Source organism: Homo sapiens, chromosome 4 (assembly GCF_000001405.40).
Source record: "Homo sapiens chromosome 4, GRCh38.p14 Primary Assembly".
Classification (NCBI taxonomy): domain Eukaryota; kingdom Metazoa; phylum Chordata; class Mammalia; order Primates; family Hominidae; genus Homo; species Homo sapiens.
In genome coordinates, this window is record NC_000004.12 from 67,915,092 (window position 1) to 67,941,577 (window position 26,486).

At 37.3% G+C, this 26,486-nt stretch overlaps 1 protein-coding gene across 2 annotated transcripts in view, besides 2 other annotated features; it reads right to left on the reverse strand.

The window, feature by feature from the left end:
- Nucleotides 1-26,486, reverse strand: part of TMPRSS11A (transmembrane serine protease 11A) — a 54,099-nt gene that overhangs the window by 5,697 nt on the left and 21,916 nt on the right. For both annotated transcript variants that reach the window (NM_001114387.2, NM_182606.4), the window contains exons 4-8: nucleotides 16,902-16,969; nucleotides 14,789-14,949; nucleotides 9,037-9,075; nucleotides 7,664-7,835; nucleotides 3,882-4,141 (exon numbers count right to left, since the gene is read on the reverse strand). In NM_001114387.2, coding sequence (NP_001107859.1) covers nucleotides 3,882-4,141; nucleotides 7,664-7,835; nucleotides 9,037-9,075; nucleotides 14,789-14,949; nucleotides 16,902-16,969 — 700 coding nt within the window. The remainder of the gene's footprint in view (nucleotides 1-3,881; nucleotides 4,142-7,663; nucleotides 7,836-9,036; nucleotides 9,076-14,788; nucleotides 14,950-16,901; nucleotides 16,970-26,486) is intronic.
- Nucleotides 11,891-12,391: an enhancer, noted in NCBI's record as "H3K4me1 hESC enhancer chr4:68792700-68793200 (GRCh37/hg19 assembly coordinates)". NCBI's record gives its function as "activates a minimal SCP1, AML or CMV promoter by ChIP-STARR-seq in primed H9 embryonic stem cells {active_cell/tissue: H9 hESC(primed)}" and the evidence as "EXISTENCE:reporter gene assay evidence [ECO:0000049][PMID:30033119]".
- Nucleotides 12,392-12,892: an enhancer, noted in NCBI's record as "H3K4me1 hESC enhancer chr4:68793201-68793701 (GRCh37/hg19 assembly coordinates)". NCBI's record gives its function as "activates a minimal SCP1, AML or CMV promoter by ChIP-STARR-seq in naive and primed H9 embryonic stem cells {active_cell/tissue: H9 hESC(naive and primed)}" and the evidence as "EXISTENCE:reporter gene assay evidence [ECO:0000049][PMID:30033119]".

Here is a 26,486-nt window from a genome sequence, read left to right on the forward strand (position 1 = left end):
TCTCCATTGGCTTGATAAAATGCCTATAATACTATGTACATTTATTTTATTATTTAAAGTTTATGATGAGCTTTCACATATATAAGATATATGTGAAATATACATATATTATACATCATATATATATAAATGCATTAAACGGCAATGATTTCACTTCCAATGTATTACAAGTTGGTGGCTGCAGACTGTAAGCTAGGTTCTGAGTTTTAGAAACCATTATTATGGCAGGCTACGTAGAAAACTAAGAATAGCACAAGCATTCAGGGATTCTTTATACCAAACCATATATTGATTGGGAAACCATGACCCCATGGTTGGCAGAATTCTAGGATAGTCCCCAAGATTCCTGTGTGATTCCCCTCCTCCCAAATATGGGCAGGATCTGTGAATATGAGGGATGCCATTCTCATGATTAGGTTATGTTATATGGCCAAGATGAGGGAATTTTACAGATGCGATTAAGACCTCTAATGAGTTTGACTTTGAATTCATCAAAAGGAGATTATCAAAGGTGGGCCTGACCTAATCAGCTGAGCCATTTCAAAAAGGGCGAGCCTTGCTGGAGTTGAGACACTTTCCTAAAGAGTTAAAGCAGCAAGCTGGCATGCATTCTACAGCTGCGAGTAAAGGAATTCTGCCAGCAAACCTTGAGGAGACCTTCAAAGGAGCCACAGATGTGGCCACAACCCCAGCTGACACCTTGATTACAGTTTGGTGAGACCCTGAGAAGAGGACTCAACTAAGCTGTGTCTGAACGTCTGACTCATGAAAACAGTGAGATAAAAATAAATGAGTGCTGTTTTAACTGTTTGTGATTATTTGTTACACATTTATAAAAAACTAATACAAGAATACGATATATCATCAGCTATAGTCACCATGATGGATGAGAGATCTCTTGAACTTTTTCTTCCTAACTGCAAATATGAATTTGTTGACCAGCATCTCCCTAACTCCTTCCCCTGTAAAGACCCCCAGCTTCTGGTTGCCTACTGTTGATATATCGTATTCTTGAGAAACGCTACAAGAGTAGATATTAAGTGTTCTTGCCACAAAAATGATAATTATGTAAAATAAGACGCTTCTTAGTTAACTAGATTTAACACTCACAGTGTACATATACTATACTTCAACACATTATGTTGCACATGGTAAGTACATGCAATTTTATACATCAATTAAAAAAAAAACTAAGTACATTTGAAAAAACCCTAATACACCAGTTTCTTTAGAAGACGATTTCCAAGATTTATTTCTGAAGAAATGTTTGTAAACACATATTTAAAAGTGCTCGGAAGATTTAAGTGTGTAACTCAGAAATATGCTAAGAGATTTTTCAAATTATTCTGTTATTTGAATACAATTGGTTTATATATATTATACACACACACACACACACACACACACACACATTTATATTGCCTACTATATCATCAATTAAAAACATTCATGGCCTGGCGCGCGGTGGCTCACGCCTGTAATCCCAGCACTTTGGGAGGCCGAGGCAGGTGGATCACGAGGTCAGGAGATCAAAACCATCCTGGCTAACACGGTGAAACCCCTTCTTTACTAAAACTACAAAACAATTAGCCGGGCATGGTGGTGGGCGCCTGCAGTCCCAGCTACTCGGGAGGCTGAGGCAGGAGAATGGCGTGAACCCGGGAGGCGGAGTTTGCAGTGAGCCGAGATCACGCCACTGCACTCCAGCCTGGGAGACAGAGCGAGACTCTGTTTCAAAATAAAAATAAAAATAAAAATAAAAATAAAATAATGGTGAGAAGAGTAAGGTGAAACTGACAATCTAAGTATTGTAAGTAGGTGACAGTGCAAATCCACAACTTCTTCAGCAAACTAAACTGGTTGGTAAAATGTATTCCAAGTCATGAAAAGCATAGCCCATAAATTCTGGACATCCCTGAGCTATATCTCATCTTCTGTAAAAATGCTTAATGACATTTCTAGCAAAATATTGATTTTATCAAATAATCAGCTTTTTATTTATCAATTTTCTATAGTTTATTTTTAATTTTATTCATTTCTATTCTTATTCTTATTATTTCCTTCCTTATGTTTGTTTTAGGTTTATTTTTTATTTTTCTAGTTTCTTGAAGTGAGAACTTAATTATTGATTTGATATCTTTCCTTATAATATGCATTTTCTATAAATTTCCCTTTCTACACTATTTTAGCAGCATCTGGCATATATTTATATATTTTTGTTTTCATTTAGTTCTATTTGTTTTTACAAATTTCTTCGAGATATTCTCTTTATTTACATATGTTTTTTAATTGGTAAGCATTTGGGGATTTTTATGTTATCTTTCTGTTACTGATGTCTAGTTAGATTCCATTATGATCAGAGAATATACTTTGTACAATTTCAATTTTAAAAAACTTCTTAAGGTTTGCTTTACAGACTTGAATATAGCCTCTCTTGGTGAGTAACGAATGGCTGCTTTTAATCTATTAATGTACTTAACAGATTAAGAATGATAGGTTAATTTAATCTATTTAATAGATTAAAAGCACCTGTGGGTCACTCACCAAGAGAGGCCGTGTTCAAGTAGGGTGGAGTGCTCTATAAGTGTCAGATTCTGTTGCCACTCACAGCGCATTATGACAGGTATGTTTCTGTGCCAGTCTCAAACTCCTGAAAGTGATTTTTCCCACCAAGCCAAAGGGGATTTGTGATGTCTTTCCCACCACTATGAAGCAGAGAATGCAAGCCCTATCTTCAGAGAAAATCCATCCAAGAGAGTGCAGACCTAGGGAGGTGTCAGGCTTACAGCAGCACTAGATCTACTAGAATTAATAAACCATAGGTAATATTTTCTGTGATTGGTAATACAACCTTAAAGAAAGCAATGCATGTCTCACTCTGTATAAGATAAAACAAAACCACATGGGACATCTGGAAAAAATCTAGAGACCCTAAAACCGATTCCTGCCTATGTGAGTGAAAGGTTATTCCTAGTTCCTTAATGGTAGACTGAGAATCAAAAGCTTATTCTTTATAATTTCTTGTATGTAAATAAATTGTATAGAATCCTGCAAATAGATTTAGTCATTCTCAGAAAGCCCTTTTGCATTTTCTCAAGCCCAGTGTTAAAGAAACTCTCTAGCTTTTGTTATACATATGTACCTGGACCACATGGTAGAATCCAGAGCGTGTCTCACTAAGATTGCCTAGAACATTCAGTAACTAAATCATCATTATTTCTTACAAGACTAAGTTAGTATATCAAGTTGAATACTTTTAGAGGGGACAAATAGTTTGACAATTTATCTCTACACTATTCTTATTCACCATCACACTTAAATTAGCTTCTTCAGTACTGAAGCAAATTTTGCTACATAGGCATAAAGAATATTTGAGTTAGCCACTCAATCTGAGTCCTCCTAGACACAGCTGGAACAATAGAAATTAATGTGAATTCTGGCAAAGAAAAGAAATAAATATTCCTTTCTATGTATTTTTTCTTTGTTGAGGATGATGTGTTGAGGTGTTGTTAGCCACCTCTGACACTAGGTGAAGCTAGCATCCCTCTGAATGAAGACAATATAGAGAAAAGAAGGGGCAAAAAATTCAAATTCAGAGACACAGAGCCAGATGACATCATATAAACCCCTGTGTCTGAAGTGAAACTTACTACACTTTTTTGACTTCCAAATTACATGAGCCAAATTTGTGGAAGTTTTTGTTTCTTTGTTTTTTATTCTGCACTGGTTAATGTGAATTGAATTTCTGTCACACAAAGTAAGAACCCTAACTAATCCAACCAGACTGTGTGGAAATGGCTGTCAGGATAATATTGATGGAGATGAAATCACATTGCCTTAGACAGGGCTTAGCGCTCTGTTAGCTATCCTGAGATACCCACCACCATAGTAAAGTGCTCCAAATCCTGTGATGTGGACAGTCAAATTTGGTTGGAAGGATGCAGAGGCTTCTGGCAAACAAATCTGGCGTATGTCATCCGAAAAGGTGACTCTGGAAGAGACCTGCACAACAGCAATGTCGTACTCTCTTGCTGCAGAGCGGTACTTCTCATGGATAATAAATCTTCTGACATTTCTTTTCATTAAGGGAGGGTTGATTTTTGTTCCAAAACTAACAGTCCATTGATGTGGATTTTTATACCTGGAAAAGGTTAGAAATTAACAGAATATATATAAGCTGCCCAAAGTATATGAGCTAGATTAATTGCATTTAGGCTAATATAAGAGAAATACAATCCTGAGAATACTTGGCTGCAGTTATAGTTTTCTTTTATCATTTAAATATAATCTATTGCTAATGTTTTGAAAGATAAAATCATATAAATGCCATATTAGAACTGATATTTAATACAAAACTATTGAATTTTAGAACTGTAATACACATAAAATATCATTCATTTATCCCTTCCACAAATATTTACTGAGCATCTGTGTGCTGAGCCTTATCTGAACTGCTGGGGATAAAGTGATGAACAGGACCTAAGGTGCCTGCTCACAGGAGTATAAGATTCCAGAGAAGGAAAAGGATCAAAGCAAGCAAACAAATAGATAAATAATCTTAAACATTGATAAAGGCTATGAACAAAATAAAATAGGGTAACGGAATAGAGTACTAACAGGTCATTATGATTATTTTGATAACGCATTTGGGCTAAGACATAGTAAAAGAGGGTCAGTGTGAGGAGATGAGGGAAACAAGTTTCCAGGCAAAAATCCCAAGGTCTTGGGTTGGATGGGCTGCAGTCAGAACACAAGGGAAAGAATGGTTGGGGGTGAGCTTGGAGAGGTAAGCAGGGACTAGATTTTAGAGTGTTTTATAGGTCATGATAAAGTGCTTAAATTTTATTGAAGTGATATGGGAATCTACTGGATAATTAAGCCAGAGAATAATGTAGTCTCATTTACATTTTTAAAAAACATGTTGGTTCTTTCTGGGGAGTAGATTCTTGAAGGTCAAGAATGGATGTGGTAAAGTCTATTAGATGACTGCATAGTCCTTTGAGAGATGATCAAATGTGGTAAATGCGGTTGACTTCTAGCTTGTGGGCTTGGGCAATGGGTGGATTATGGTACATACAGGAATCGGAAAAATCATTTAGTAGCAATGAAAGATCATCTAGTAAAGACTGTGTTTTATACTTAAGGAAAATAAAGCCTGGATAGGTTAAACTATTTGATTCACATCACATATCTGCCTGCCTCTCTCTGCTCTTCCCTTTATAAAACACTGTCTCCCACCAATTTACATTATTTGTATTTTTCAGAAGACTTCCTGCTTTATTTTGTTATGTGTGACACTAGTCACACATCTGTCTTGGTGTATTTAGTTATTGGAAGCATATTTTAAGGAAGACACTGACAAAGTCTCGAATGTTCAGAGAATAAGAACCAATGTGGTAGGGCATCTGGAAGTTGGTTCTGGAAAAATGAGGTAATTATATATATATATATATATATATTTTTTTTTATATATACACACACACATATATGCATATATATACACACATATATATGTATGCATATATATGTGTGTGCATATATATACTTTTTTCAAAGTTCAGGGTTACATGTGCAGGTTTGTTACACAGGTAAACTTGTGTCATGGGGTTTTGTTGTACATATTATTTCATCACCCAGGTATTAAGCCTAGTACCCATTAGTTATTTTTCCTGATCCTCTCCCTCTAGCACTCTTCGGTATAGCAAAGACATAGAATCAACCTAAATGCCCATTAGTGATAGACTGGATAAAGAAAATGTGGTATACATACACCATGGAATGCTATGCAGCCATAAAAAGAACAAAATCATGCCCTTTGCAGGGACATGGATAGGGCTGGAGGTCATTATCCTTAGCAAACTAAAGCTCACAGTAATGATATTTATTTTCACTTATGGTTTGGATATTCTCCCTCATTTTATGTTTGGTCTGAAAAAGAGAAACTAAAGAATAGCTGTTATATGAATGAAGAAATAAAATTGGTTCCTGTTGTTCCAGATTAAAAGAAAAACAAATATTGATGGTAGAAGTTAATAGAGTATAGATTTGGTGTTCAATGCTATAAAGATATTTGCAAAAATAGAACTATCTACCACAAAAATGGCTAACTTTGGCAAAGTAAGTTTCCCATTACTTTGAAAAACCAGACACCAGCATAAGGGATTTCTGGCTTTCTAATATATCAGCTTACTGAGCTCTCACATCTTTCAAACATTAAGAATTTATGTAGATTATTTTTAAAAATATATTACTATTTTTTTAAGATGGGGTCTTGCATTGTCACTCAGGCTGGAGTGCAGTGGTGCAATCATAGCTTGCAGGAGCCTCAAACTCCTGGGCTTAAGGGATCCTCCTGCGTTAGCCTCCCAAGTAGCTGGGATGATAGGTAGGCACCACCATGCCCAATGGGGTTTCACTATCTTGCCCAAGCTGGTCTTGAACTCCTGAGCTCAAGTGGTCCTCTTGCCTCGGCCTCCCAAAATGCTGGGATTACAGGCATGAGCCACCATGCCAAGCCTAGATTCTTAATATGTATATTCTTTGGAATATTAAGAGTCTCTATAAAGATTTATGCTCCTAGGCAAATGAAATTTATTATAGTAACAAAAGTTAGAATTTTATAGGTCAAAAAGAATGTGAAAAGATCTAGCCTATCTATTACCTAATACACTAAGGTTCAATAATTTGCCCAGCTCTCCAACTGCCTGGGACATATTTTTCCCACTAAATCCTGCTGCCACCTATTATATAGAGATACTCAAGAAGTCTTTGTTATTACTGTAATAATTGGCAATGAAGAAGAAAGGCGATACAGTTAATCTACTTAGAAACAAATCTAAAATTCTAAATGTAATAGTGATAAAAATGACTGGTTATTATCTTGAAAAGTAAGATTAAAAGTTATAAAAAGTCATTTAATCATATATTTAATAAAATGTATGCATTCAGAAACAATTATAGGATAGCACAATTTGCTATTCTTCACTTCAGCTTTGTCTTTTGTGTCACTATTGTGAAGAGATGCTCTATTATGGGAAGGTCACATTGAGTGGCCCAAGGGCCTCTATGAATCCTTTGATACTCCGAGGAATCTCTTTTGAAGTGCCTGTCTTTATCATGCTAGCAATCTCTCATTTTGGTTGTAAACTGTTCTGATTCCACAGATCTTCATATGTCAATGCTCTAAATTTGATCTGCAGTTCTCCATCATCACGGTTACCAACTTCCGGCATTTATTGAAAATTTCCATTTTACTTTGGAATTAGTTTGATTATTTAAGATCAGTATGAGACTGGCCCAAGTGTTTGGCAGAAACAGACACTAGTTTTAAGTGGAGAGCATTGTTTGACAAAAGATTAATGGTACATGTTATTAGTGAATATTTTGTGTTAGGATGTCACAAAATAGTTCTGATTTCTTTACACAGTTTCCTTATTAAAAACTTTGAGGAAATGATTGATGGATACTAGGATAATGACTGTTACTTATTCCCATCAAATTTCTGATTAAGTATGCAAGTGTAACATTATTTTAGAAAAGAACCTGAAATAACTTTTTCTTATTTTACTTCAGTAATATTTGAGACATTAATTGTTACCAAGAATATGACAAAACTCAGGGCTTTTTAGCAGAAGTGGGTTCTAACTTAAGGTCAATAACTTACTTCTGGAAGCAGTGTGCTGCAGTGACAAGCCATGTGTTACTAATCAAGGTGGCCCCACACTGATGGATGTTATCATACTGAAGGGAAGCTTGCCAAGGCCAGGCCGCCTTGGGTGCAATGACTCCAGATGCTATTCTGTTGACGTTTAATGGAACAACTCGTTTACCACAACCTGAAAAAAGATGAGATCATTAAGTTATAAGAAACATCTTGTAATTACAGGAAATGACCCCATTCTTACTTGCCTGAAGACATTTTCGTATACTACTCCTCCTGCCCAGGACACTTACCCCACCTGTCACTGGATTCATGGCCTCTTCTCTCTCACATTTCAGGGTTCACTTTCTTACTGTGTGAGAACAGGTTAGCTGACTCTCTGATCAACTCTCATAGCACTATGCACTTCCTCTGTCATAGCATTAATCACATTATTTTCATACTTCCTGATTTATTTATATCTTTCTCTACTTTGGAATTCTAATTTTAGAGCAGGGATCATGTTTTATTCACAATGGTACCACCAACTCCTGGTCTAATTTCTGGCACTTGGTAGATGTTAAAAGATATTGTTGAATGAATAAACACATGGATAAAAATACTTAGGGTGTTTGCAAGTCACAGAGGCAAATGCATGAACATCATTGCTCAAATTCATCACTGTTTTTTGTAAAATCTTTCAAAATTTAGGCCACAGTGATTTGAAGTGATTTAATGAAGCCACTGTTAGCGATTAAGATGAATCTATTAAGCATATTTTTTTCTTCTTTTTTGAGATGGAGTCTCACTCTGTCGCTGAGGCTGGAGTGCAGTGGTGCAATCTTGGCTCACTGCAACCTCTGCCTCCCAGGTTCAAGTGATTCTCCTGCCTCAGCCTCCCAAGTAGCTGGGACTACAGGCACCTGCCACCGCACCTGGCTAATTTTTGTATTTTTAATAGAGATGGGTTTTCTTCTCCATGTTGGTCAGGCTGGTCTCGAACTCCTGACCTTAGCATATTTCACAGACAAATTGTCAGTCACAGACAATGGGTTTTATGTCCTTCCTATTGATTACTTTCTTATTATTTTATTTTGTAGCAGAAAGTACATTTTATGGCATTTTTAAAAATTAGAAAAACAAGTCCAATATTCCCAATCAAAAATAAATGCTTTCTTCAAATTGCCCCAGAAGGTTACCATGGCAATTTTTTTCTTGAACATGACTAAAAGATCAGTCCATGAGTTAGAAAAAAAATGTATTTAAATCTATCGTACAAATAGTTATTATCTCTCAAAGAAAATCTGGAGGACAGATGGGCAAGTATGAGCAAATATTTGAAAATGTCCTTTCTGATGTGAAAATTGAACTTGTTTATATAAGCTAACTTGACTTACTTGCTTGGACAGTTAACTCCCCTGTTGATGAGCTCATTGCTGAAAAAGAAGATAAAACAAATAGTGATAATTTGATATTTTCCTGGTTGGTCTCAATGACCAGGAATAATCAGAGGATACTGACCATATATGGATTCTAGACAGTTGAACATATAGATTAATTAGGAGAATGGCTATCTGATATAACAACATCTGTGTACAGTTTTTGTAGAGACTTATAGGCAGCCTCTAATTAGGTGGATACTATCACAAGCAATGGGTGAGTAAGGCACAAATAGTGGATGACTAAAGCCCACAAATAGTTTGTATTAATAGAGAACTATGGTTTTCCAGCAGTTCGGGGTAAAGCTTCTTTGCATTCCACTTCAGAAGATGGATAAATGGGACAGAGGAAACAGGTTATATTAGTTTGTTTTCACACTGCTGATAAAGACATATCTGAGACTGGGTAATTTATAAAGAAAAAGAGGTTTAATGGACTCAGAGTTCCATGTGGCTGGGGAGGCCTCACAATCATGGAGGAAGGCAAAAGGCATGTCTTACATGGTGGCAAGCAAGTCAGAGAATGTGAGCCAAGTGAAAGGGGAAGCCTCTTATAAAACCATCAGATCTCATTCACTACCATAGAACAGTATGGGGGAAACTGCACCCATGATTTAATTTATCTCCCACCAGGTCCCTCTCACAACATGTGGGAATTATGGGGGCTACAATTCGAGATGAGATTTGGGTGGGGACACAGCCAAGCCATATGGCAAGTAGACTGTCTTACAGGTCTCAAACTCAGCCTCAGCCAGAACAGATCTGCTTTGATCTCTTCTATTTACTTCGAATTTCACATAAATCTTTTTTTTTTTTTTTTTGGTTAAAGGGTTTAGAATGAAAAAACCTTGAAAACTCTTGCATAAATGATATTTAAAATGCTTTTTAAACACAGTTCCTAAATAGTAAAATTGCTTTTTTAAAGAATAAACTGTTATGTGTTTCTTATCCAAAATATACTGAATAGTGGTAAAAGCTAGTTATTGGACACAATCCAAGATTAAATTCTGTCAACTTCCAAAAAAGTGAGGAGTTTGACTAAGGAAACACAAATATTTAAACTTGTATACATGTATCAAAGCATCATGTTGTATACAGTATACAATTTTTATTTGTCAATTATATCTTACTAAAGCTGGGGAAAAATAAAGTTGGTGGAAGGTTTCATGAAAATTTTGATGATTTTCAAGTTAAAATGACTTAGCTTATTGAGCAGATGAGAATAAACTGTTTACTTTTTCCTACCAGTGCCATGTTTCTCAGACACATTCTCAGTATTCTATTCCTCATTATACAAAATAAGATTGTTTCATTCTACTAACTTTCTACAAATTCCACTGGGGAAACTAGTGATGATAAACTCTACAAAGTGGGAGCTTTTGAAAATATTCAATTCAAATATACCCTTAAAGGCATCCCAAATCATTGTATGGTGAAGAGTCAATTGCTCAGGACCATCGATTGCTGTTAGTGGTTATTCTATGGAAGGAACTCAGTTTACCGTCAAATGTAGTTTAAGGCAGTAAATTTATTTCATTTTTAAGAAAACTATATATTTTGTCCTTTGTAATGCAATAAAGTGGAAAATAGCATAAAGTTAGAATTCTTCAATTGAAACTTTGTCAACTTAGTCTGAGCAGGATGCAAGTTAGCCATTTCCAGGAATGATACCAGGATAAGTATAATGGTCGTGAATATAACCGGATTTTAAGGGAGAATGATTACACCTGGAAACAAACTGTCAATACACAAGTAACTAGTTGTTAAAGATTTCTAATTTTGACCAAAGATTTTTACTTTCCTGGTATAGAAATGGAAATAAACATTAACACTTTAGTTTTGAAAGCAACCACCTCCTAACACGGTTCTGAGTTGGGAGAAAGCTAGTTAATATTCAGGGCTCTATAGACTACAAGTATCATGATGAAAAATGAAGCAAAGTCATCTGACACATAGGCAGTGAGCTGCTTGACTACAGCCTTGGTGTTTGCAATGCAAAGAAGTTGATTTTAGCTTTGCTTTGTCACACTGTGTCTCCTGAAGGACCCACACCACACAGTTTTTTTTTGTCAAAACAAAATACAGATTCTTGACAAATTATAAATAAATCTTGGGCTACAGGATTATTTCTAGACTTAATCTAGAATCTCTACAGTTTTCTATTTATTGGTAGTCCATAAATTTTGTTTGCCCAGGAAACAATGTTTTTGCCTATAAAAAATTGACGTAAAGATTTTCCTGAGCTGTCCACTGAATGTGCCTTTCTTAAGTGCTAGTGATGGCAGCTACAGGCTGTCTGGAGCAGTGGTAGCAGGAGCGGATGCGGGAGTAGCAGTGATGGTGGTGGGTCCCCTGTGTCCCACATCCCTGAGGCAGCCGACTGTGCCACCCCCAACCTCACGTGACCAGGCAGGACCTGCTCCCAGGCCTGGAGCCTCTCCTGCTCCGGAACCTGGCCCCACATTGCCATTCTTGACCATGGCCACTGCAGGGAGGGCGTGGGGAGAAGGTGGACAGTCCTTGGAGCCCATCCCTGGGAGCCCCCCAGAGCCTGCCACCCTGGGAGCTACCACAATGGGGCTGGGCTGAGTTGCCCACTGGTGGGGGAGCAGCTTGGTCAGGCACGGAGGGGTGGGCAGAGAGGTGCTGGAGGCAGCATTGGACCCTTGCAGATGGAGAGGTGACTGGGAGACCATGGGACTACCTGCCTGCAGAGAGGAGATAGACCACTCTAGGGCCTACTGCCTACTGTGTGCTGAAAGCTGAACACTCAACAGGACAACCTGCCTGCAGAGAGGAGCTTCTACCTCCAGGGCCTCCTCTTTGCTAGGAGCTGGACACTTGTTGGGACACCCTGGCTATGAAGAGGAGCTGCCCACTGTGGGTCTCCTGTGAGCTGTTCTCTTGCTCAGTAAACCTTTCTTCGTCTTGCTCACCCTCCACTTGTCTGCATACCTCATTCTTCTTGGTCTCAGGACAAGAACTCAGGACCTGCCAAATAGCAAGACTGAAAGAGCTGTAACACAAACAGGAATGAAACATACCCCTTGCTGGCCACATTGTGGGTAAAAAGAGAGAAAAGCTGCAGCCCTTTAGGGATCCCAGACCTGGGAGCTCCCCAAGCCAGGGTTGTGACTCCCTCTTTGGGACCCTGCAGTTCCTGGCATCTCCAAGCTTCCTGGGTGCCACCACATTCCCAGGTGCCTGCCAGGGAAGCTGCTTGCAGTGAGCTTTGTCCAGCCACAGCCTCACAGAGAGACAGCACACCTGTGCCAGTGCCTGGAGCTGCCCGTCATGCTGCAGCCAGTGTGCCTGGCTGTGGGCAGTGGCCAGACCCTGTGCTCGCTCAGACAACCCTCACAGCTCCATGCCTGGGTTGGCCTTGGTGGGCATGGGATCCAGGCTGGTAGCGGAAGGTGGGCACAGTCTGCCAGGTCAAGTGGGCAGAACAAGCCCAGTGGGCCAGAGCAAAACTTGGGCAAAGGCACCAACCACTGGCCACAGAGGTTTCTGGCCAGAAAAGCAACACCCCCTAGGCTCCCATATCACTAACAAACACTGTTCTTTCTACATTGAACATTCTGAAACTTTCAAGGATCTATCTTTCTGCTACTAGTCAATCACTCAAATTAATGATTTCAGGTTTCCAAAGCATATGCACAACATAATAGTTTTCTCATTAGTAACAGCCTCTTTATTTCACATTGTGTTTTCTATTTCCTTGTATATCGTTATAATCTCTCTGTGATTTCAGGAAGAACAAACATTACCATTGGAATTTTACAGATGAGAAAATGAAGACAAAGGCATGAGCCAATTATTTGGGTGGTCCTGTGGTGACTTAGTGGAGTTAGAATTGGTCAGGTAACTCTTTTATTTTTTATTTTTTTGGAGATGGAGTCTTGCTCTGTCAAGCCCAGGCTTGAGTGCAGTGGCGCGATCTTGGCTCACTGCAACCTCCGCCTCCCGGGTTCAAGTGATTCTTCCCCCTCAGTCTCCCAAGTAGCTGGGATTACAGGTGCCCGTCACCAGGCCTGACTAATATTTTGTATTTTTAGAAGAGACGGGGTTTCACCATATTGGCCAGGCTGGTCTTGAACTCCTGACCTCAGGTGATCCACCCGCCTCGGCCTCCCAAAGTGCTGGAATTATAGGCTTGAGCCACCATGCCCAGCCTCAGGTGACTCTCAAATCAGGTTCTCCATTAGCATATCCTACCATTTAATTTAGTACAATTATTAAAATAAGCTGAAGTTTAGAAGCTGAGCCTACAAAAAACAAAAAGACCAGGCAGCCAATGAACAATTTATGCTTTACTCTGGTTTCAGATAGTTCAGGCTTTTACATTCCTGACAAATTAACTATTTATTGGAAATTACACAGAAAGCATCATGTAAATTATCAGAATGCCCATTGTTTCACAACTTCTATTCATTTGCTTCCCCATCTAACAAAGAAGATGGATTAAGCACTTGTCAGGTTCCTCCCTTCTGGCTGGGAGAGGTCCTCAGCTTTATTCCCTAAGTAGCTGACTCGTTCTCACATCAGCAAACATCTGCCCATTCCATTACCTCACATTTTTTACTTCCTTATCTGGTTTCCTCTTGAAGTGTCAGCTAGACCCTTACAAGGGCAGAGTGTCCTGTTTCATGTCTGATAAAAATCGCTTGCCCTGAATCTCTTCTGTAACACTTAGGTCTGGTATCCATTGAAATTTGTAGGAGAAATCTATACTTGTCTGTTGGAAGAAGATGCTGTGCAAACAGCTTAGCGGACGAGGGTAAACAAGTTTCTCTCTAGCTGGCTGCCTTAGAATTTTTAATATGACACTATAAGGAAGAATTTCCAAGAAACGAGTATCAAAGCCAGAATTTTTAAGATGTGTTTGACTATAGAAACCTTTTTTAATTGGAGCCTTTTAAGAAATTAGAGATTTAAATTTGATTCTTAGCTCCTTTTAATTACTGAATTCCTCAACTCTTTTTGTGTGAATTTCACTTCTATAAAGGTGAATTTGCGTACGTCACTGGAATATAAAAAGAAATTAGTTACTTAAGGTAAAGGCCATAGAGATAGACCTTGATAAAGGTTTGTTCTCCTTAATTGAGGGAAGTGATAATGGTATAATGGGCTAAGGGTGAACAAAAAAAAAGAGAAAAGTGGAACAATGTACACATAGTTTCAGTGATGTTTTCCTAGACTGTGATTTTTAAAGCATTAATGGTAAAATGACTCTAACAACTTCAAAGTTGGCTTGCCATTTTCCCAAATGCCCATAGGAAAAAAAGCTAACAAAAATTGTATATCACCATATATAGAAACTATCAATAAAAGTATGGCAACACATGAATTTGTGTTTTAGGAAGGTCCCACCCAGAAAAACAATTATTGCTAAACCCCTAGTATTTTCACTTGCTTAGTCATGGAGGCAGTGCCTGGGTGGGATTAACTCTCTGTTAGTTGTAAATGCTTGCCTATATTTTGGGATGAGTGCCAATCAATTACTGTCGGGAAAACCACTGGATGACTAACTTCAGACATGCTTACGTTAGAGACTAATACACCTTGAAATGTCACATCTTTAACTTGAATTTTTTCATCTGAATTCTAGCTATTATTTGAAATGGAAATAATGACAAATAAATTTGAGATTCGTCAAAACATGGACCTAATAGACAACTTCATATCACATAGAAGGGGACCTCCTTACCATTAACTTGAACTGATGAGGCATTTATTGGCAAGGCTCTTAAATTCCTTATCTTCTGATTTAAGATGCTTTGGATTTTCTTCTCTCTTACTGCCCTTTGTTCAGTAGAGGGGAACTGGAACACCATAATGACATCTACTTTCACACCATCTTCCTCTGGACTGTGACACACAAAAGAAAGGTACATTTTCAAAGAATACACCTGGAATTGTCCTTCAGTCTTACCTGTATCTTCCTCCCCTGAATGATCCCTCAGTTGCTGAGAGTGTCAAGTGCTGATCCTCTCATGTCATTCTGACCCAAGGTCATTTCATATGTTCCCTCTTCTAGCTTTCATTATGTTTTCAGTGCATTTCCCCCATTAATTTGAAGGATTGTTACAGCAGCTAGGAATGACAGATATAAAAAATCATCATCAAAATTACAAGCTCTGAGAGTTAGAAGAAGCCTTCATGTTTTCTTAGGCTAATCAATTGTATATTTGATACCTGAATCACTTCTACAGGGTCCATGACAATTGGCCCTCTAATGACAGTGCAGTAATTAAAAAGATAGTAAGTTTAATTTTCTAAAGAGGCTTGTTTCTCTTTGGTCAGCTCTGCTTTTAAGAGTTCATCATTTTGAGTTGAAATATGTCTCCCTATATCTCCCATTCCATAAGGCTTAGGTCTACCAGTTGGAACATACATAAAATAATTTCCTCCTCTAGCCCAAATATTTGAAGACAACAATATTGTGGTCCCCGAGTCTTCTCCAAATTAAACATGCCCAATTTCTTGAACTTTGATCATATAAACAGGTTCAAGTTCTGTTACCTGAGGAACTAAACTTTTAAATACTGTTAAAATAGGAAAAGCAATTACAGGTTTTTGTTTAAAAAAAAAAACAAAAAACCTTGAAACTAATATATATTGATCTGTTATCTCTCCTTTTTTTTTTTTTTTTTTTTTACAAAAAAAAAAAAAACTGTGAAAAACTCTAGAGGCCCATCTCCCTGAATCTTTTGGCTAAAAGGAAATTCTGAGACAATTTATGTATTTTTGTTCATTTAGGCTCTGGAATATAAAGATCTAAATAACTAGAATTTTATGTCAAATTGGCAAACAGATGACTAATTTTACTTCTTAAATCTGAGGAATTAACATTTTTACCAGGTATTATATAGTGATGGCTACCATCCAAAGGAGTTCACAGGAGTATAATAATGTTGCTACAATAATATGGTAAAGGAGAATTTGAAAACAGAAAACATGAAATCTAGAAAGTTCTAGCATTTATATGCTTTTTCCCTCCTAAGTATTGTAGGAATTACCCAATTTATGTTATAAAATCCTTACGGAAGTCACTAGTTACTCAGTCAAGACATAGAGAACTTTGAGTACACCTGCCAACAAAGCATTATTAGTCTATTGGTGAGAAAGGGATAATTATTTTCTTCAAATAAATCAAAATCTGAATATATTATTTTTCTTTATCTTTAAGAAATATGAGTCATACAGGCTCATGGATTTGTGTATATGACATGCGTGTTCTGCTATGTAGTTTTTCAAAATAACACAATTGAAACTTCTGAGCAATATCTGCAACTGATATGAGTCTTCCCCCTCCACCATGACAGAAAGAAAATTTATTACAACAGGAATATCTTTTTGTTTAGGCATGCCTTATGTCATTCGGTTACATTACAGGTAAAATTTGTGAACCCATTTTATAGCCAAGTTTGCCTGCTTAACGTGGTTGAAATAATATAATTGTCAACATAATATAACTTGGTGCATGCAACGACAAGCTGCTGGGTTTTCCCCACGTCATGGGTTCTGGTAGGTTCCAGGCCTCACAATAAGTTAATGGGGTTTGATTCCTGGTTCTGTCACTTTGGGAAACTGTCAGTTGGTGAACTTTGAACATATTTCTTACCCTTCCTGAATCTTAGTCTTTTTGTTGACAAAACGGTGGTCAGCCCTATACTTCAAGACTGCTTTAAAGGTAATGTTTATGAAAAATTCTAGCCAAAAGCCTAGTCCATGGAGACATACAATACATGAGAGTCCCTGTCTCCTTTGTTCCTTTTCCCTCCAGTCTTGTGATTCCACCTTTGCCCAAACATACATACGTCAGTCTGACTACTTGGTTCTTGATATAATTTTTCTTCCAGGCTGAATCTATAAATATCTCATCCACCTGTTACACAACAAGAGAGAAACTATGTGTTAATAATATATTTTATAATAGGAATATATCCTTGATTAAATGTTAAAGCAATCAAAAATTTTTTCACAGAACTAACATCATTATTTAAATTGGTGGATCTCAGCTTTCACAGTGCAACAGAATCATTTGATGAATTAAAAAAATTTATGGATGCCAGGGATCCTCTCCAAGAATTTTGGTTTCGATTGGTCTAGAGGGGACCTAGGCACTCATATTTTTAAAAAACCTACCCAAGTAATTCTACTGTGCTAGAGTAGGTTTCTGGAGTAGAAGATATCTTGCTAAAACACCATAGAAGGAGTAGCAGAGAGATACAGAGCAGAGATAGGATATTCAGAGAGGCTTTGAGTGGTGACAAAGAAAACCCTGCCTCAGTCCTGGATTTGAGCGTATACTACTTTTCCCAAACTGGGCAATCTTGGCAAAGTTACTGAATCAATTTGAGCCTCAGTTTTCTAACCTGTAAAACAAAGATATTGATCTGCTACTCATAAGGCTATGAAGGTTAAACAGATATAAAATGTTGGGTAAGTTTTGGTAGTTAATTGCTGATGGTCCTCTAGCCTCCATCCTGGCATTACAGGTCTTAGCTCTGCAGGTCTTTGCTTGTAAGGTGTAAGGAGGAGGCATTAGGGATTTAAGAGAGAGCCAAAATTTTTAAATTATTGTCAATTGTGGACTCTAGGGTAAATCAGGGAGGAAAAAAGAATTAGGTGGTATTCCAGTATTAGGTCAAATTTGTTACTCAGTTTATGTCACCAAGGTAGGAGAAGCAAAGCCACTGCTTTTAGTCCATATGCACAGCTTTAATCTACTGCCACGGTATTGTGATGCTGTGGTCTCTCACACCTGGCATTCGGCTTGCAGTATCCCCTAGCACTCACTTGGTAGAAATAGTGTCATCTCAATGTGGGTAAGGTACTACAGTTCATGTTGGACAGAAGAACCAAATGTGCGCACAAAATATCCTAAATTCTCAAGGAATGAGAAGAAAAACCAACTTGCATGACTGAAACACACACACACACACACACACACAAATATAGGGAAAGCTGTTTCAGGGATCAAGAAACAAGTTATAACTTCCTTAGCATGCTCAGGAATTCATAAATACCTCATCAGGAACCACATTATTTGTTATCTTCTTTAACTCTAATGACAATTCTGCGAAGAAGTATCTTCATTCCTGTTAGAAATCTGTGACTCAGAGGCATTATGTGAATTTCCCTGGCATCACGCAGATACTAGTAAGCTGGGACTGAAACCCAAGTCTTCTATCTGTAGGGTCCGCCTCTTCCCACTCAATCACACAACCACCCTGTTAAATGTGATGTAAATTTTACTTCGGTTTCTTTTGTAGAACACATAGTAATAAGTTATCAAGTAATTTATTGACCTAAAGTATAAAACTTGTAGAGATATAGATTTGGTAATAGCCTTAAACTTAAGATCAAAGATAGCATTTGGAAAATAAATTGCTAGTATCCAAAATATGTCTTTATTGGTACTTAAATAAAGAAAGCCCCATTTAGCTGAGGTGGTGTGGGGTTCATCTGCTAGAAACAAAATTCTTTTGGAAGACATGTTTTTGAAAGGGTGACTTTGTTATAACAATTTCTCTCTCATCACCCACAGCCAGCTCTACTACTCAGTATGGAGGTGAGGGATTCCAAAAAATAAAAAGGCAAACAAAATGGAACAGGGAGAGAAGTGATACAATTTAGAAGGAAAAAAGCAAATAGCAGTTGGGTATTTAAAGAAGTTTGTTTTGTAATTACCCTCTGAATAAGTTCAACCACATTTGATTCCTGGCCATTTGTAACTTTTTGGTGAAGGCATTGGATGAAGTTTTTGACTCTGGATGACATCATCAATCTGGCACCGTGCCTGCTATGAATGTCTAAACCAAGCACCAATTTTATCTTTGAATTGTTAGGTTGTCTGGGAAGATAGGAGCTGTAAAAATAACATGAGAAGAATCTAGGCAGAAGTAACTTTGGTGATCACAATAATAAAAAGGATCCTTCTTTATAAAATTCTAGGACTCTCTCTCTAGAAAAGTCTCATTTACTACATCGGAGGAGGCCTTAGAATCTTTAGGTGATACAGGTAGTCTGAGGACAACGCTTTGAGAAATGGGGCAGAGGGACTGGTAAAAAGAATTCTGATAAAATGAATTTACAGCAGGAGGAAAATCAGAAAAAACATGAACATAAGTTTTATTGTAGAATGGAGCTTATGTATAAACTAGCTTTCTAAAGACCCTGAAATTGTTTCCATGGCAGATGATGGCTTTCATTATTAGAAGCATTCTTTTTGCCAACGTTCTGGCATTCCAAGTTCCCAGAAGTTTCAGAGAAACTTATATATTTAAAGTTGTGTGCCAGGTTGTTATAAATCTATTGTTATCTATACAACCTAATAGCATTAGCAATTTGTAAATCTATCCTATCTCTCTCTTTAGGGCATTTCTAGAATTTTGTAGTTGGAGTTTGTCTCCTAGCATTGAACAAAAGACCCTCTTTCAGGGTAGTATCTCTTTCTGCTTGATAATTTTGACATGCTGGAAATTACACTGAGATTAAGTTCCAAGAGGGCAATTGAAGGTTAGTTGGATATTTAATGAAAGAGTGAGGGAGAGGCTGTCAACTCAAACAAACAGACTCGCCCAGCCATTCAGCTTTCATTCCTGAATTAACTCTGTTTATACATGTTGCCTGCTTTTCTCTGCAGGTGCTTCCTGACTGGCTCCCCTTACAGCAGTCAATGTATTCACTTAGGGAGTGTTTTGTGGCTAACACTGTAAACCTCAGATAGATATGTCACTGCAGACTGGCATATGGAATATAAATGAGATATAAAAGCTGTTTTTTCCAACGTAACACCAGGTGAGCTCCTTAGAATTAAAGAAACCAAAACCATGCTGTGAAAAAAAACTTTAGATCCTATTGCTTTCTCCTAATTACAACAAGAGTAACATGCAAAGGATATTATATAAGAGGGATTTTTAAAAGACACTTTTAGCCTTAAATAAAGCTTCACTGAGGTTTCATTGCCACAAGGATTGAACTCAAGGTAAAAATAGGGAATTTGAGCCTTTGAGCCTCTGTCCACAATGTTAGACATTCAAGGTCCTCTCCCTCTGTGACCAACTTGCCTGGCTCCATCTTCAACACCACCAGTACTTTCAGGCATGGCCCTCATTTTCCTGCATACTCACGCCTCTCAGGCTGTTCCTTTGGTCTGTAACAACCTTCTCATTCTGCAAGTTCTGTGTTCCTGAATCACAACTATCCTTCAAGGCCAATCTCAGATAATACCTTCTTTGGGGATATTCGTTAATCTCAAACTGACCTGTCTTCCCTCTGTCTCAATTTTTCTTATCCCTCTTATACCTTTTATTCTTTAATGTAAACATATATTATATATTTATGCAATATATTCACTATATATTTATGCAAATATATAGTCTCTTTTATTAAACGGCAAACCCTTTATGCATAGAGATGGCAATTTATCTTTTCATAGTCTATAAAATCTAACATAGTGCTTTGCATGCTGTTGGTATGTAGTATATTTTTGTTGAATTAACAAATTGATAAAAAGGTGAGAATTTATTTATCAGAAAGTTTTGCATTTACCAGGAAAATTTTATAAGACTTTTTAAAGTGCTTGCTTTACATCAGGTTGAGATCAATGCTCCTAGAGAAAAAAGAAAATTACACATGAATTATCGGAAGAGATTTTTTTTTCCTGTTTTTGGACATTTTAGGTAATTGATTATTTGTGGAAAGCTCCTCCTTGGTAAGACTGTAATAATTATAATAGTGGGAATCACTGTTGTCTGCCATATATGCACCAAGCACAGATGTCATTGTGTTTGAGCTCATTTGCTTTCAAATCAGCCCTCTAAGGTGAGTACTATGATTATTCACGTTTCATAGAAGAGGAAGTGACTTGCCCAAGTTGACACCACAGAGTTCACTGAAACCAGGGCCATGTAGCTTCAGAGCCTGTTAACGCCTTCACAGTGCCTACCTCAGGATGAGCATGCAGGTAGGTTCTCACTAAGACCTCCTACCCACTGATGGGCAGCAAGCAGTTTGTAAGAGGATCAGAAACTGTTGCACCCCTCTCCAAAGGCAGCCTATTTTCTTTACTCTCCAAAAATAAGAATCATAATCTTGGTAGTTTTTAGTGCAGTCCTTTTAAGTTCGTATCATATCTGTATAAAACTCTAGGTGTTTTTTTTTTTTTTGGATCCAAGAAGTCAGCTATGAACCATTCTCTCAAGCCTGGATAGAGCTTAGTCAACCTGAGCACTGAGTGATGCTCACAGAAGGCTTTTTGGCCTTCTTGGGGTCAAGCCTAACTGCCACATCTTTAAGTGCTGTGTCTATTGGAGAAAGCAGTTGGATCCAGTGTCATACAAGGTGTGTGGGTGTGGAGGGTGCCATGAAACTGTGACTTTCTGATCACCCTAAACAAAAAGGTAATCAGATCATCAAATGGGATGTGATATTTTGTGATGCCATCAGTCATTTCTTTGATTGCACTGGTCCTTCTTCAGTGTTTCTTTGTGGAATGTCAGAAAGAAATGGACAGACATCTGTCACTACTCACGTGTAACAAGTAGCAATATATTAGATATCCATATCCCAAATTGGCTTATATTTCTGAGATCACAAGGCAAAATATTTATAGAATTTAAAGATTTGCAATTAAGGATTTTAAAGAAAAAAGTATTAATTCTCAGTGTACAACAAAAACCTAGATCTTTGAATTGCTTTTGTAAAAGAGGAAAATATCTCATTTGGATCTATTTAAAGCTGTACTAAAAATATTTAAAACCAGGATACCCAAAGCAAGGGAAGGTCATTATTTAGAAGGTTCATGTCCTCTCCAGATTTGTTGTCTTCTAAATCTCTAAATTGGATTAGTTTATGAGAGAGAGAGAATCATTTTTCTTAGCCTTTTGTAGTGCCTAACATCATGCTGTATTTGCTGAATGATGATGATAAACTAAATAGATTCTCCTGTGAAGACTATGCTGTATTTACAACTTTATCAGGAAATTTAGAAATAGTTCATATTACTTCTTTTCTCAAAAACTTCCCTCAAAAAGCATACCCATCCACACCTTTCTTCCAACTATAGATTGTTCACACTAGATGTACATACACATGTCAATATATCCATCAGCTTCCTTCATCTTTCTCTATTACAGTTCCTCCTACCTTTGCCTTCCTCACCAAAAACTGATACAGGGAAATGAGAAAGAGAATATTTTTCTCTAATAAGTATACCTAATGTATCTGTCAAGAAAAAGTTAGCTAGCACAGCATAGAGGATTTATAATCTTCATGGATTTAAAAAATGAAATGAGAGAAGAATTGATTTAGATTTTAATAATTTTATCTTCTGTCTTAGCTGAGTCCCTTCCTGACAGTAGAACAATTTAGTGGAAAGAGCACATGTGTGGAGTTGCCTAGATGACTTCAAATCTCCCCTCCATCATTTTCCAGCTATGGACCTTAATTTCAGAAGCTTGGTTCTCTTACCTGTAAAGAGGAGATAAAAGTGCCTTCCTTGTGGTGTTACATCCATGTTGCTGCAAAGGACATGATTTCATCCTTTTTTATGGCTACATAGTATTCCATGGTATATATAGATATATATACATATATATCTCACAGTTTCTTTGTCCAATCCACCATTGATGGATATCTAGGTTGATTCCACATCTTTGCTATTGTGAATACTGTGGTAATTAATGTGAGAGTGCAGCTGTCTTTCTGGGAAAAAAGTTTATACTCCTTTGGGTATACACCCAGTAAGAGGATTGCTAGGTTGAATAGTAGTTCCATTTTAAGTACTTTGAGAAGTCTCCAAACTGCTTTCCACAGTGGCTGAACCCATTTACGTTTCCAACAGTATTTAAGCATTCTCTTTCCTCCGCAGTCTCATCAGCATGTTATTTTTTTAATCTTTAATAATAGCCATTGTAACTGGTATGAGATATTATCTCACTGTAGTTTTGATTTGCATTACTTGGATAATTAGTGATGTGGAGCATTTGTTCATATGTTTCTTGACTGCGTTGTATGTCTTCTTTTGTGAAGCATCTGTTCATGTTCTTTGCCTACTTTTTAATGGCGTTACTTGGTTTCTTTTGCTTGTTGAGTTGTTTAAGTTCTTTACAGATTCTGGACATTAGACCTTTTCAGATGCATAGTTTGCAAATATTTTCTCCCAGTCTGTAGGTTGTTTGTTTACTCTGTTGATAGTTTCTTTTATTGTGCAGAAGTTCTTTAGTTTAATTAGGTCCAACTTATCAATTTTTGTTTTTGTTGCAGTTGCTTTTGAGGACTTAGTCCTAAATTCTGTGCCAAGACTGATGTCTACAACAGTATTTCCTAGGTTTTCTTCTAGGGTTCTTGTATTAATTGTTTGTGGTCTTACATTTAATTCTTTACTGCATCTTGAGTTAGTTTTTGTATTTAGTGATAGGAGTCCAATTTCATTTTTCTGCTTCTGACTAGCTAGCTATTCCAGCACCATTTATTGAATAGAAAGTTCTCTCCCCATTGCTTATTTTTGTTAATTTTATTGAATATCTGATGGCTGTAGATGTGTGGCTTTATTTCTGGGTTCTCTATTCTGTTCTATTGGTTTATATGTCTGTTTTTGTACCAATGCCATTCTGTTTTGATTACTGTAGCCTTAAAGTATAGTTTGAAGTCAGATAATGTGAGGCCTCTGGCTCTGTTCTTTTTTATTAGGAGTCCTTTGGCTATTGGGGCTTTTTTTTTTTGTACCATATGAAATTTACAAAAGCTTTTTCTAACTTTGTGTGGAAAATTATGTTGGTAGTTTGATAGGAATAGCATTGAATCTGTAGATTGCTCTGGGCAGTAGGGACATTTTAACAATATTGATTCTTCCAATCCATGAGCATGGAATGTTTTTGCATTCATTTGTGTCATCTCCGATTTCTTTCAATAGTGTTTTTTTATTCTCCTTATAGAGATCTTTTACCTCCTTGGTTAGATGTATTCCTAGGTATTTCATTTGTGTGTGTGTGTCGCTATTGAAAATGGGATTGTGTTCTTGATTTGGTTCTCAGCTTGGACATTATTGTTTAGAAATGCTACTGAATTTTGTACATTGATTTTGTATCCTGAAACTTTACTGAAGTTGTTTATCAGTTTTGGAAACTTTTTGTAAAGTCTTTAGGGTTTTCTAGGCATATAATCATATTGTCAGTAAAGAGAGATAATTTGACTTCCTCTTTTCGTATTTGGATGCATTTTCCTTCTTTCTCCTGCTCGATTGCTCTTTCTAGAACTTCTAGTACTATGTTGAATAGGAGTAGTGAGAGTGAACATTCTTGTCTTTTTCCTGTTCTTAAGGATAGTGCCTCCAGCTTTTGCCCATTCAGTGTGATGATGGCTGTGGGTTTGTCACAGATGGCTCTTATTATTTTGAAGTATGTTTCTTCGATGCCTAGTCTAAGTGTTTTTATTATGAAGGGATGTTTAATTTTATCAAAAGCTTTTTCTACATATATTGAGATGATTGTATGATTTTAATTTTCTTAAATTTTTAATTTTTTTGAGATGGATTTTTGCTCTGTCACCCAGGCTGGAGTGCAATGGCACGATCTCGGCTCACTGCAACCTCTGCCTCCTGGGTTCAAGTGATTCTCCTGCCTCAGCCCTCCGAGTAGCTGGGATTACAGGCACCTGCCACCATGCCCGGCTAATTTTCGTATTTTTAATACAGATGGGGTTTCACCATGTTGGCCAGGTTGGTCTCGAACTTCTGACCTCAGGTAATTTGCCCACCATGGTCTCCCAAAGTGCTGGGATTACAAGTGTGAGCCACCATGCCTGGCTAATTGTATGATTTTTGTTTTTAATTCGGTTTATGTGGTAAATCGCATTTATTGATTTACATATGTTGAACCAGTCTTGCATCACAGAAATAAAGCCTACTTGATTTTGGAAAATTAACTTTTTGATGTGCTGCTGGATTTGGTTTGCTGGTATTTGGTTGAGGATTTTTATATCTATGTTCATCAGGGATATTGGCCTGTAATTTTCTTTTTTCATTCTGTCTTTGTGAGGTTTTGGCGTTAGGGTAATGCTGACTTCATAGAATGATTTAGGAAGAAGTCTCTTCTCAATTCTTTGGAATAGTTTCACTAGAATTGGTCCTAGCTATTTCTTGTACGTCTGGTAGAATTTGGCTGTGAATCCATCTAGTTTGGGCCTTTTTTTTTCCTTTTGGCTGGTAAGTTTTTTAAATTACTGATTTAAGTATGAACTCAATATTGGTCTGTTCAGGGTTTCAATTTCTTTCTGATTCAATCTTGGAAGATTGTGTTTTTCCAGGAATTTACCCATTTCCTCTAGATTTTCTAGTTTATCTACATAGAAGTGTTCATAAGAGTCTCAGACGATCTTTTGTATTTCTGTGGGATTGGTTGTAATGTTACCTCTATCATTTCTGATCGTGCTTATTTGTATCTTCTTTCTCTTTTTTTCTTTGTTAATCTAGCTAGCAGTCCAGACTGGTTTTGGCTGACTCACAGAGGATGCATAGTAAGGGTTTTGTGTCCTCTGCTTCACCTTTGAACATCAAATGGCTGAAAACTCCACCCTTGGATCATGCTAATGCCACCATTTTTTGAACATGCAACACATGAAGAGACATAAAGCTCAATTGCACATAGTTATGTTTCTCCTTTCATAAGTATTTGTGACTTCCCCTAGAACTTATTGAACATGTATACTTAGGCAGCTTATTCAGCATAAATTCCTGGCTTATCCTTCCCTCCCTCAAAGTGCATGCTGTCAGTTTCTGCTGGATGCCATGCTTCTCCACCTGCAGGATGGCCAGCCGGCAGTAATCAGACATCAGTAATGTCTGATTAATGGACCCTTCTCTGAAGAATGATATGAGAGATGAGATATGTCTGCTCCACTATCTCAGGGAACAGGGGCGGATTATAGCAATATCTAAATATGAACTCATTTTACTTTTGCATCTCAATTTGCATTCAAATCAGTAAAGCCCAATGTGAGGAAGAACAGGACGTGCAACCTGTCTTCCTTGGTTGTCTAATTAGCACCCATATAGGACAGAGAGAAGAATCTGGTTGTATTCATTGGGATTTAGCAACAACAAACAGGTGTGGCTCAGGATGAGGCATAAACTCTTCCTGTAATTCTTCTAAAGCTAACCTGGTGCGGGATGGGAGGAGAAAAACACCTGTCTCATTTAAACAAAGGTAAAATAATATAAAGCCTTTTCTGACCATGGGAACCCTTGTTTGGTTTTGAAGTTTTTCTGTACTTACTGTCCTCAACATGTAATTTAGCCCTTAATTATATCATGTCATGATATTCAATTCCATGTGTGTTACTCACATCTTTCCAAAAAGATTGGAAGCAATTTGAGGAGACAGATTCATGTTTCCTTT